Consider the following 12,521-nt stretch of genomic DNA (forward strand, 5'->3'; position numbering starts at 1 on the left):
GAGGCTCTGGCTGATGTTCTGCGTCTTACTTCGTGCAGGAGCTGTGGGGGGCGTCTGCGCCCTGGCCAATGTCCTGGGGGCTCAGGTGTGCCAGCTGGAGCGACTGTGCTGCACGGGGCAATGGGAAGATGCCCAGAAACTGCAGCACCGCCTCATTGAGCCAAACGCTGCGGTGAGCCAGTGGCAGCGGGGGCGCGGCCTGGCGGGGGGTGGGCAGTCTGTGTCCTCATTGGAGCAGGACCCAGGGCTGGCACCAGGCCCCACTCAGTCTCTTCCTTTCAGAAAATCCTTTGAGAGAACATCCCAGTGTGGGAACTCCTTGTGACTCCCAGAAAATCCTGACTTCGGACAAAGTCGAGCACCACTGATTGTCAAACTTAAGTGTGCATTAAAATTTCCTTGGGGGCGAATTAAAGTTCCAACTTTTGGGCCCAAGAAGATGCATTGAAACAAACATCCTGTGTGATTGTGACAGAGTAACCCTAGGACCACACTTAGAGATGCCTGGAGAGAAAGAGTGTAAACCAGGGGCCTCTAAATCCGTGCTATCGGGGGCCAGGTCCTGAAAAAATAGGAATGACTGGGGCTGGCAAAGGAGTTAGAAGGCAGGAGAGTGTTGTCTTCAAATAATCGGTTCTGTGGTCAGACTGTATACCCCAATTCTTTGTTGGGCAAGCAAAGGAGAACTTCAGAGAGAACGCCCATCAAGTTCAGGGTCATTCTGAAGTCTGAGGCAACAGAAAAATATGTGCCCCTGTATTCAAGTTTTAATGTACATTTTATCCTTTCTTTCCTTCGTTCCTTTGTTCCTTCCTTCCTCCCTCCCTCCCTCCTTTCTGTCTTTCTTTCTCTTTCTCTCTTTCTTTCTTTCCTTCTTTCTTTTTTTAGACAGAGTCTTGCTCTTTTGCCCAGGCTGGAGTGCAGCAATCTCAGCTCAGTGCAACCTCTGCCTCCCAGGTTCAAGCAATTCTTGTGCCTCACACTCCTGAATAACAGAGATTACACGTGTGCACCACCATGCCCAGCTAATTTTTGTTTTTGTTTTCATTTTTCAGTAGAGATGGGGTTTCACCATATTGGCTATGCTGGTCTCAAATTCCTGGCCTCAAGTGATCTGCCCACCTCAGCCTCCCAAAGTGCTGGGATTACAGGCGTAAGCCACAGTGCCCGGCCTATTCTTTTTTCTTTTCTTTTCTTTTTTGAGACATAGTCTCACTCTGTTTCCCAGGCTGGAGTGCAGTGGCACAATCTTGGCCCACTGCAACCTCCGCCTCCCTGGTGCGAGCAATTCTCCTGTCTCAGCTTCCCTAGTAGCTGGGATTACAGGCACGTGCCACCATACCCGGATAATTTTTTTGTATTTTTAGTAGAGACGGGGTTTCACCATGTTGGCCAGGCTGGCCTCAAACTCCTAACCTCAAGTGATCCTCCTGCCTCGGCCTCCCAATCTTTTTTCTTTTATTTTTTTTATTTTCGAAACAGGGTCATTCTCTGTCACCCAGGCTAGAGTACAGTGGTGTGATGACAGCTCACTGCAACCTCAATGTCCTGGGCTTAAGCAATCTTTTTAATTTTTTATTTTTATTTTTGTAGAGATGGGGGTCTCACTATGTTGCCTAGGCTGGTCTTTATCTCCTGGGCTCAAGCAGTCCTCCCACCTCAGCCTCCCAAAATGCTGAGATTACAGGCATGAGCCACCATGACTGGCCTACTGTATATTTTATATTTAACTTTTTATTTTATTTTATTTTATTTATTTATTTTGAGATGGAGTTTCACTCTGTGCCCAGGCTGGAGTGCAGTGGCACAATATTGGCTCACTGCAACCTCTGCCCCCGGGTTCAAGCAATTCTCCTGCCTCAGCCTCCCAAGTAGCTGGGATTACAGATGCCTGCCACCACACCCGGCTAATTTTTGTGCTTTTAGTGAAGACGGGTTTCACCATGTTGGCCAGGCTGGCCTCGAACTCCTGACCTCATGATCCACCCGCCTCGACCTCCCAAAGTGCTGGGATTACAGGCATGAGCCACTGCGCCTGGCCAAACTTTTTATTTTTAGATAATTATAGATTCCCATGCAACTTTAAGAACTAATACAAAGGGATCCCATGTACCCATGAGCCAGTTTTCCCCAATGGCAACATCTTACAAAACTGTAGAATAATTTCATAGTCTGGATATTGACCTTGATACAGTCAAGACACAGAATATTTCTGTCCCTACAAGGATCCCTCATGTCATCCTCTTATAGCCATGCCTACTCACATTTGCCTTCACAGGCTCCTTAACCTCTAGCAACCACACATACATTCACCATTTTATAATTTTGTCAGTTCAAGAGTATACTATATGGAATCACATGGTATATAACTTTTGGGGATTGGCTTTTTTCCACTCAGCATAATTCTCTGGATATTCATCCAGGTTGTTTGTTGCATGTATCAATAGTTAATTCCTTTTTATTTCTGAGTAGGATACCATGGTATTGCCGTACCACAGCATGTTTATTTATTATTTATTTATTGAGACAGGGTCTTGCCCTGTCACCGGGGATGAGTGCAGTGGCAGGATCATTGCTCATTGCAGCCTCAACCTCCTGGCTCAAGCAATCCTCCCAGCTTATCCTCCCAAGTAGCTGGGACAACAGGTGCACACCAACACACCTGGCTAATTCTTTTTTATTTTTAGTAGAGACAAGGTCTCGCTATGTTGCCCAGGCTGGTCTCAAACTCCTGGTCTCAAGCCATCTTTCCTCAGCCTCCCAAAGTGCTGGGATTACAGGCATGAGCCACCACGGCTGGCCCCCCACAGTATGTTTAACCATTCACCTGTTGAAGAACAGCTGGGTTATCTTCAGTTTTTGGCTATTAAAAGCTGCCATGGGAAGGGAGCAGTGGCTCACACCTGTAATCCCAGCACTTTGGGAGGCCGAGGCGGGCAGATCACCTGAGGTCAGGAGTTTGAGACCAGCCTGGCCAACATGGTGAAACTCCGTCTCTACTAAAAATACAAAAATTAGCTGGGCATGGTGGTGCACATCTGTAATCCCAGCTGCTCGAGTGGCTGAGCAAGAGAATCGCTTGAATGCGGCAGGTGGAGGTTGCAGCGAGCCAAGATTGTGCCACTGCACTCCAGCCTGGGTGACAGAGTGAGACTCCGTCTCAATAAATAAATAAATAAAAGCTGCCATGAACATTCATGAACAGGTTTTCGTGTGTCCATAAGTTTTCATTTTTCTGGGATCGATACACAGCAGTACAAATGGTGGGTCATAGGGTAGTGGTATGTTTCATTTTCTGAGAAACTGCTGGCTGGGTGTGGTGGCTCACGCCTGTAACCCCATCATTTTGGGAGGCTGAGGGGGGTCGAATGCTTGAGCCCAGGAGTTCAAGACCAGCCTGCGCAACATGGGGAGACTGTCTCTACAAAAAATATAGAAAATTAGATAGATGCGGTGGCATGCACCTGTGGTCCCACGACTTGGGAGGCTGAGGCAGAAGGGAAGATCCCTTGAATCTGGGAGGTTGAGGCTGCAGTGAGCTGTGATTTTGCCACTGCACTCCAGCCTGGGCTACAGAGTGAGATCCTGTCTCAAAAAAAAAAAACAAAAAACCAAAACAAACAAAAAACAAACCCGAAACAAACAAACAAAAACCCAGAAACAAACCTGCTAAACCTTTCCAGAGCAGCTGTACTATTTTAAATTTACACTGATGTAAACGTATGAGTGATCTAGTTTTTCTGCAGCTTTGCCAGCATTTGTTGTGACTATTTTTTATTTTAGCCATTCTGATAGATGTATAGTACAGATGTATGGTACAAATTAAAACCGTCTCATTGTGGTTTTAATTTGCATTTCTCTGATGGCTAATGCTATTGAACGTTTTTTTCATGTATTTATTTGCTATCTGTATATCCTTTTCAGTCAACTATCTATATTTCTTACGCATTTTGAAATTGGATTGTTCTTTTGACTGTTGAATTTTAGTTCTTTATAGCTTCTAAATACTAGTCCTTTGTTAGACATGTGGCTTGTAAATATCTTTTCCCAGTCTACAGCTTGTCGTTTCATTACCTTAATAGGTCTTTTGCAGAGCAAGTTTTACATTTTGATGAAGTACAATTTATCAACATTTTCTTTTACGGATCATGCTTTTGGTGTCAAGTCTAATAACTCTTAAAGAGTTCTGGGCATGGTGGCTCACGCCTATAATCCCAGCACTTTGGGAGGCCGAGGTGGGTGGATCACGAGGTCAGGAGTTCAAGACCTGCCTGGTCGAGATGGTGAAACCCCGTCTCTACTAAAAATACAAAAAAAAAAAAAAAAAAAAAAATTAGCTGCGGGTAGTGGCAGGTGCCTGTAATCCCAGCTCCTCAGGAAGCTGAGGCAGGAGAATCGCTTGAACTCGGAGGGCAGAGGTTGCAGTGAGCCGAGATCATGCCATTGCACTCCAGCCTGGGAGACAGTGAGACTCCATCTCAGGGAAAAAAAAAAAAATCTTGAAGAGTTCTTAGAAGATCGTAAAGATTTTCTCTTATTTTTTTCTTTTAAGTTTTATAGCTTTATGTTTTATAAGTCTGTGACTCATTTTGAGTTAATTTTTATATAAAGTGTAAGACTTAGGTCAAGGTTTTGTGTTTTTTTTCCCTAATGGATATTCACTTGCTGTAGCATCTTTTGCTGAAAAGGCCATCTTTCCTCCATTGAACTGCTTGCGTGCCTTTGTCAAAAATCAGTGGGGCATATTTGTGTGGGTCTATTTCTGGGTTCTCTATTCTTTCCATTGATGTATATGTCTATCTCTCTGCAATACCACACAGACTTGACTACTGTAGCTAAGTCTTCAAATCAGGTAGACTGATTCCTCCCACTTTGTTCTTTTTTTATTCCTTCAAAATTGTTTTAGTCTAATTTCTTTAACTTTCCATATAAATTTTACAAGAATCTTGTTTATATCTACAATAAAATCTTGCTGGGCCTTTGATCGAAATTGCGTTAAGCCTGCATACCAATCTGGGGACAACTGACTTCTTTACTATATTGTCCTCCAGTCCTTGAACATGGTACATTTCTCTGTTTATTTAGATCTTCTTTGATTTATTTCTTCAGCATTTTGTAGTTTCCAGCCAACAAGTCCTGTACATATTTTTAAAAACTGACACCTAAGGATCTGGTGCAGAGTGGCTCACGCCTATAATCTTAGCATTTTTGGAGATAGAGACGGCAGTATTGCTTGAGGCCAGGAGTTTGAGACCCACCTGGGCAACATGGCCAGACCCCATCTCTTAAAAAAAAAAAAAAAAAAGACACCTCTGCACTAGGATCTGTACTAGGCATCTATGGACATCCTGCTGCCTGGAGGGTAGAAGAGCCCCCTGGCTGCTCCCTACACACTGCCTCCACTGCATTGCCTGTGTGTCTGGCAGCAGGTGGGGTGGGCTCTGGTGGCCTTTTGAAGATGAGCAGTGGTGCAAGTCCTGACTTCCCTCCCCCTGGCCTGCTCTGACACCACCCAGCTGGGAGCGGGGGTGGCAGTTCAGACTCCTTCACTCAGTCTTTGCTGGCCTGGCTGGTTTTCGGCTGGAGTAGAGCAGTTACTGTCTGAAAGCTTTCCATCTTGCTAGGCAACCCCTTTTCTGGTCCTCTGGCTAGAGAGAACTGGCTTCTGTTAGTGCGTGTATTGTCTGTACCCATTGGCACTGCGTGCTTGCTGACTTCTTCAGCTCCAAGTCTGGGCCAGGGTACGTAGCACTGTGTTACTTCTTGGGTCTCTAGGTCCCTTGTTGGTCTTCCTTCTCTCTGCCTTCCAGAGTCTTCTTATGTCTTTTATATAATGTCCAGATATATATATAATTTTTTATATAATGTCCAGATAATATTTTTATGTAACGTCCAGAGCTTTTAGTTGTACTTATTGGGAAGAATTGGGACAAGTACATCTACTCCATCTTCCTGAAAGTAAATGCTCTAAGTATTTTTCTAAATGGTGATTTTTTTCCCCCTAAGAACATTAAAGTGGGTGAAAAAATATTGAAAATTGAGAAGTAGGTATGTTAAAACTCACAGCACTATTTTAGGCTTAAATATTTCATATACCAAAAACATGATTTATTATAATTTTATTTTCCTGGCTTTAATGGAAGCAAACTCATCAAAACATATTTTTCCAAGTCTACTTCTAGAGAAAGAATAACCGCTAAAAAGACACCAGCAGGGCACAGTGGCTCACACCTGTAATCCCAGCAATTTGGGAGGCTGAGGCAGGAAGATCATTTGAGCTCAGGAGTTTGAGCCCAGCCTGGGCAATAGAGTGAGATTTTGTCTTTAGTAAAAATAAATGAAAATTAGCCAGGTATGAGGGTGTGCAACTCTAGCCCCAGCTACTCAGAGGCTGAGGCAGGGAGATTGCTTGAGCCCGTGAGGTCGAGGCTGCAGTGAGCTACGATCATGCCACTTCACTCCAGCCTGGACAAAAGAGCAAGACCCTGTCTCAAAAAAAGAAATTTAAAAAATACAATAAATAAAAATGAAAAAATACACCAAAAAATACATGGGGCACACATGATTACTTATGCATGAGCCTTCTATATGGTGGGGCACAGCTCTGTTGGATCCTGTCTTTATTTAAAGTTTCATTCATTGTGGATATTTTTTGCATTAATTTTGATTTTTAAAAAATATTGCATTGAAATATTACTTATTTTGGCTGGGCACGGTGGCTCACGCCTGTAATCCCAGCACTTTGGGAGGCCGAGGCAGGCAGATCGCCTGAGGTCAGGAGTTCGAGATCAGCCTGGCCAACATGGTGAAACCCTCTCTCTATTAAAAATACAAAAATTAGCCAGGCATGGTGTTGGTCACCTGTAATCCCAGCTACTCAGGAGACTGAGGCAGGAGAAATCACTCGAACTCAGGAGGCGGAAGTTGCAGTGAGCCGAGATCGTACCACTGCACTCCAGCCTGGGCGACAGAGTGGGACTGTTTCAAAAAAAAAAAATTGCATTGAAATATTACTTATTTTGATGATTGAGATTTTTGGCCTCCCCTTAAGTTTTGCATGCAAGGTAAGGGCCTCATGGGCCTGGCTGCAGTCCCAGGCTGAGCTAGGCACTCCACAATATTTTGTTTGGGTAAAGTGATGGGTGGGCTCTAGAGCTCCCTCACAGCTGTATCCTTACCTCAAAGGGGCAGATTAACTTAGATTTACAGAAACGACAGCTGAGGAGGTAAATCTGAGTCCCTCTGGAGGTGAAGGTGCTTCTGAGATGGGACCTTCTATAAATAGGTTATAAGAACTTGCAGAAACGAGGGCCCCGTTGGGCACAGGCCGTCCTGCACATACTGAACATTCCACTGGGGTGGGGCCTCTGCTCTCCCACTCCCAGTGCACCTCTGAAAACGAAGGTCCCAGAACCCGCATGCCACCGGGACAGGAAACGGAGCGGCTTCCAGGGCTCATGGGAACTGGTCTAATATTAGCAGTGTTTTTCTCATCTGGCCCTTGGGACGTCTCTATGGGGTAGGTGTTGTTATCACTCATTTCACAGATGAAGCAGCTTGGGCTGCCCCTGGGGAAGAGTGGATGCCTAGCTGTCATCCCAGATCTCTGCGTGTCATCCCGCCCTACCCCATCCTGCCTCACCCTTCATTCTGTGTCCTCTCCTGTGCCAGCTCTGGGCACATACCCAGGAATGCCTGGAACACCTTTCTGCTGCCTAGGCTGTAGGCTCAGACACCCCGAGAACAGCTTGATGTCACTCTATTGCCCATCCCTGGTCAAACACAATGTCCTTCCTCCACCTTCCCACCAGCCTGCCTCCTGCCCCTGGCTATATTTAGGACTTTCTACAGTCTTTGCCACCAACCCCTTCTTAGGGTTTGAAGAGGGGCCACATCAGATATCTTTGGAAACCCATGGCAGGAGTGAGCTTTTCTCTGGGCACCTCTTATTTCCATCCTGTATCCTGGGTCTTTCCCACCTACTCAGGCTTTGGGTAAAAAGGCCAGGCTATTAGAACATCATGGGGGTGGCGAGGCCTGCAGGAGGGTGGCTTACCACCCATTCCGAGAAAAAAAATCCATGCTTGATAAAGCCTCCGGGACTCTAGTGGTAAAGTTATTAGTCAATCTTTCATCAGTGGTTCCTGGCCTTTTTATCCCAAACAACCTTTTATTTTTATCCTCCTAAGGTTTTAGCTTCTCTCCAAATAAAACTTTCTTAAGGACTACTTTTGTAGTTTTTAGGTAGTGAAAGATTCATCTAATATTTCTGATCAGCATGAAATAACCAGTTGCTATACCAAAAGCAAGGAAATTTGATGCTTCATTTATTCTGTAATATTCCATACACGATTTTAAATTATAATAGGCCAGGCGCCGTGGCTCATGCCTGTAATCCCAGGACTTTGGGAGGCCAAGGTGGGCAGATCACTTGAGCTCAGGAGTTTGTGACTAGCCTGAGCAACATAGCAAGACCTCGTCTCTACAAAAAATGCAAAAATTAGCCAGGCATGCTGTCATGCACCTGAAGTCCAAGGTGCTGTGGAGGCTGAGGTGGGAGAATCGATTGAGCCCAGGAGGTCTAGGCTACAGTGAGCCATGATCATACCACTGCACTCTAGCCTGAGTGGCACAGTGAGACCCTGTCTCAAAAACATAAACATAAAATAAAAATAAATAAATTATTACGGGTGCAGTGGCTCATGCCTGTAATCCTAGCACTTTGGGAGGCCGAGGCGGGCAGATCACTTGAGGTCAGGAGTTTGAGACCAGCCTGGCCAACATGGCGAAGCCCTGTCTCTACTAAAAATACAAAAATAAAATAAAATAAAACGAGCTTGGTGTGGTGGCAGGTGCCTGTAATCTCAGCTACTCAGGAGGCTGAGGCAGGAGAATCACTTGAACCCAGGAGGCAGAGATTGCAATGAGCTGAGATCAGGACACTGCACTCCAGCCTGGGTGACAGAGCAAGACTGTCTCAAAAAAATAAATAAATAAAAATAAATGAATAAATTATAACAATAGCTTTAGGTCCCCCATTATCAGGGAAAAGCCTTTAGAGATCATGTTGTCCAGCCCCTTCCTTTTTTAGACAGGAGAACTTACTCAGAGATAATAAGTAAATGACATACAGTTTATACAACAAAACTTCCTTGGGAAATGATGCTTTGCTTTTCCTGGGAGACCATTTAGTGTTAGGGTCAGGAGGAGCTATGGGGAGGTGAGGGCAGCCAGATGCAAGGGGAGTAGAGGTCTGGGCTGTGCCTGAGACTCTCACAGATCCTTCCCCTTCCTGACTTCCCAGGTCTGGTGTGACCTGCGTCAGGTTTCAGGGAGCTGGGCTGCAGACTGCTGATGCTCTAGTGCCTAGACCTGCAGCCTTGCTGTCTTCTCCCACCCCAGCTTGAGGACCAAATACCACTCTCCTCTCTGTTGGAGTGGATTTTTCTCCTAAAACCAAAGGAGGCACTCTTCTTCCCCAATCTGAAGTTTTTGTATTTTGCTATTACAGACCTGCTCTCTGGTCTCTAAATCTGGATTCCCAATGTACCCTGGGTGCCATAGAGTTGGCAGTTACTTTCCTGGGGGAAGAGGGTAGGACTTCAATGTTCTGAAAGTGACAGATCTCCGAGTTCCAGATATGGGTGTTCAGCAAATTTCTCAGTCTCTTCTAACAGGCCCTGCTTTGCAGGTGACCCGGCGCTTTGGGATCCCAGGGCTGAAGAAAATCATGGACTGGTTTGGCTACTATGGAGGCCCCTGCCGCGCCCCCTTGCAGGAGCTGAGCCCCGCTGAGGAGGAGGCACTGCGCATGGATTTCACCAGCAACGGCTGGCTCTGAGGGCAGGCAGGGTCCATGGCTGGCCTGAGCCCATCTCAGCCTCCTGCCTTGCACTTGCAGCCTGAAGCGGAGAGCACAGGGGGATGAGGGTGGCAGGCAGCGGGGAGCCGATAGAGGCTCCTTTGCCTGCTGTGGTCCTCCAGGCAGCCTTTCACAGGCACGCCCATGCATATCTCCTATTCTAACGGCCCCTGACCTCTCCCTTTTGGATCCTAAACTGTGTCTCTGGTCTGAAGACTGGGAAGGAGCAATTTCTCAATTTATCTTTCTACTGTGGATGCTTTCCTACGCCCTGAGGCACATGAAGTCAGAAAGGAAGGGCAGAGGGGCAAGTAGGCACAGTAAGGGAATTTTCTTTTCTTTTTTTTTTTTTTTGAGACAGAGTTTCACTCTGTCACCCAGGCTGGAGTGCAATGGCATGATCTCGCCTCCTGGGTTCAAGCGATTCTCCTGCCTCAGCCTCCCGAGTAGCTGGGATTACAGGCGCCTGCCACCACGCCCAGCTAATTTTTGTATTTTTAGCAGAGATGGGGTTTCACCGTGTTGGCCAGGCTGGTCTTGAACTCCTGACCTCAGGTGATCCAACTGCCTCGGCCTCCCAAAGTGCTGGGATTACAGCTGTGAGCCACTGCACCCGGCCGGGAATTTATCAAAGGGGGGACTACTTAGATTTGGGGCTTCAAACCTGAGTCTAGCACAATGCAGCTGGAGGCCAGGGCTACTCCTACAAACCCAAGTTCTGACTCCTTCCAGGGAAGTATCAGCTTAAGAAACTTGATCAGGAAAGTGACACTGGTCTTTCAAAGAGCCCTCTTTACCCTCCCATCCCTGCCCTCCACACTGCAAGCTGCATTCCAGCCACAACGCCCTTTTCTAAATCTATTTTCATTCATCTCCTATTCTGGTCTGTAGCCTTGATTCCAACCATTGAATGCACGGAGACAGCCCAGTGGCTTGTCAGATTGGTAAATAATGACACCTGGTGGATAAATGTTACATTCTAGAAGACTATTCTGGTCAGCCTAGGTCTGAAACACTAAGGAGACTTGGCCTGAGATAGGGCCATCCACTTGCCTACAGGCACTCTGCTTTTATTATTAAAAATAGTCACTTTGTTACTATAATAAAATTTAACAGAAAAAATTAGTGTGGCTATATAAAGATGGACACTCTATTGCTATGCAGATCTTAGGTTTCCTGGCCAGATGTCAAGAACCTTTCTAAAGGCAAAAGAGCTCTGATGGTCTGCCTTCTCCCAGCTCGAAGAGTGTCCCCAGCAATACTGAGCCAACAGGCATTCACTTACTGGAGACCTGGGGAAGGGGTAAGAGGCAAAAGAGAGCAAGTGAGCTATTTAGAAACAAACACTTAGCACTTTTATTTTATTTTTTTGAGACAGAGTCTTGCTCTGTCATTCAGGCTGGTGTGCAGTGGCACGATCTCGGCTCACTACAACCTCTGCCTCCCAGATTCAAGTGACTCCCCTGCCTCACCCTCCCGAGTAGCTGGAATTACAGGTGTTCACCACCATGCCCGGCTAATTTTTGTATTTTTAGTAGAGACAGCGTTTCGCCATGTTGGTCAGGCTGGTCTCGAACTCCTGACCTCAGGTGATCTTCCTGCCTCGGCCTCCCAAAGTGCTGGGATTATAGGCGTGAGCCACTGCACCCCTTCAGCATCCTTTTTGATTAAAGTGCTAAGTGTTTAGGGCCAGGCAGCACTTTGGGAGGCGGAGGCAGGAGGATCACATGAGGTCAAGAGTTTGAGACCAGCCTGATCAACACGGCAAACCCCATGTCTACTAAAAATACAAAAATTAGCCGGGCGTGGTGGCACACGCCTGTAATCCCAGCTACTCAGGAGGCTGAGGCACAAGAATCGCTTGAACGTGGGAGGTGGAGGTTGCAATGGGCCGAGATCGTGTCATGGCACTCCAGCCTGTGCCACAAGAGCAAAACTCCATCTCAACAACAACAACAAAAAAGGATGCTTTCTCCAAAATATTTAACCTTTTTCAGTGGTAATATTTGACTAGTGGCAGAAAAATGGAGATACATTGTAAAAAAATTACTCCTTAAAAGAAAGTGTAAGGTTAAAAAGAGAGGTAAATAGATACTTGTTTAGGGCAGAGGCTAAAGGAGAGAAAATAAAAGATCTCAATCTTCAACCCAAAACCAGGCTCTGAATGGCACTACAGCTTGGGGCTTAGTGCCTGGGGTCCTCTCACAGGCAACTTCCAGAGGAGCAAGGCTCAGAGGAGAATCAAGTTTAGGACTTGGGGGAAAAGTTAGGGCTAGGCAGGCAGGGTAGTGCACTGGGTAAGAGCTCAGCCTCTGGGCTTAAACAGGTCTGGGTTTAAGTTCTGGGATCTGCCCCTTAGTGTCTATGGGACCTTGGAGAAACTGCTTAACTTCCCTGAGCCTCATCTGTAATACAGGGATAATAATAGTACCTTCCTCCAACAAGGACGTGCATGTAAAAGGGTTAGCGTGGGGGTCAATGTTCCACCACTCTCCTGTTGCAGAAAAAGGGAAACTCCGGCAGGAGTGGACCTGCCAGAGGTAACCCAGCAGGTGTGGCCATAACTAGTCTCAGGACTTAAGTACTCTGATGCTCAGGGTGAGAGAGGTCCAGTAAAGGGAGCTGGAATCAGAAAGGCTCGGTTACAAATCTCACCCAG

At 46.3% G+C, this 12,521-nt stretch overlaps 1 protein-coding gene across 2 annotated transcripts in view, besides 3 other annotated features; it reads left to right on the plus strand.

The window, feature by feature from the left end:
• Positions 1–10,984, plus strand: part of HOGA1 (4-hydroxy-2-oxoglutarate aldolase 1) — a 28,414-nt gene extending 17,430 nt beyond the window's left edge. For both annotated transcript variants that reach the window (NM_138413.4, NM_001134670.2), the window contains 2 exons: positions 39–172; positions 9,692–10,984. In NM_138413.4, coding sequence (NP_612422.2) covers positions 39–172; positions 9,692–9,841 — 284 coding nt within the window. In that variant the 3' untranslated portion in view covers positions 9,842–10,984. The remainder of the gene's footprint in view (positions 1–38; positions 173–9,691) is intronic.
• Positions 4,974–5,475: an enhancer, noted in NCBI's record as "H3K4me1 hESC enhancer chr10:99366549-99367050 (GRCh37/hg19 assembly coordinates)". NCBI's record gives its function as "activates a minimal SCP1, AML or CMV promoter by ChIP-STARR-seq in primed H9 embryonic stem cells {active_cell/tissue: H9 hESC(primed)}" and the evidence as "EXISTENCE:reporter gene assay evidence [ECO:0000049][PMID:30033119]".
• Positions 5,476–5,975: an enhancer, noted in NCBI's record as "H3K4me1 hESC enhancer chr10:99367051-99367550 (GRCh37/hg19 assembly coordinates)". NCBI's record gives its function as "activates a minimal SCP1, AML or CMV promoter by ChIP-STARR-seq in primed H9 embryonic stem cells {active_cell/tissue: H9 hESC(primed)}" and the evidence as "EXISTENCE:reporter gene assay evidence [ECO:0000049][PMID:30033119]".
• Positions 10,508–10,727: an enhancer, noted in NCBI's record as "active region_3853". NCBI's record gives its function as "activates an Ori minimal core promoter by ATAC-STARR-seq in GM12878 lymphoblastoid cells {active_cell/tissue: GM12878}" and the evidence as "EXISTENCE:reporter gene assay evidence [ECO:0000049][PMID:35858748]".

This window comes from Homo sapiens, chromosome 10, assembly GCF_000001405.40.
Source record: "Homo sapiens chromosome 10, GRCh38.p14 Primary Assembly".
NCBI classification, from domain to species: Eukaryota; Metazoa; Chordata; class Mammalia; order Primates; family Hominidae; genus Homo; species Homo sapiens.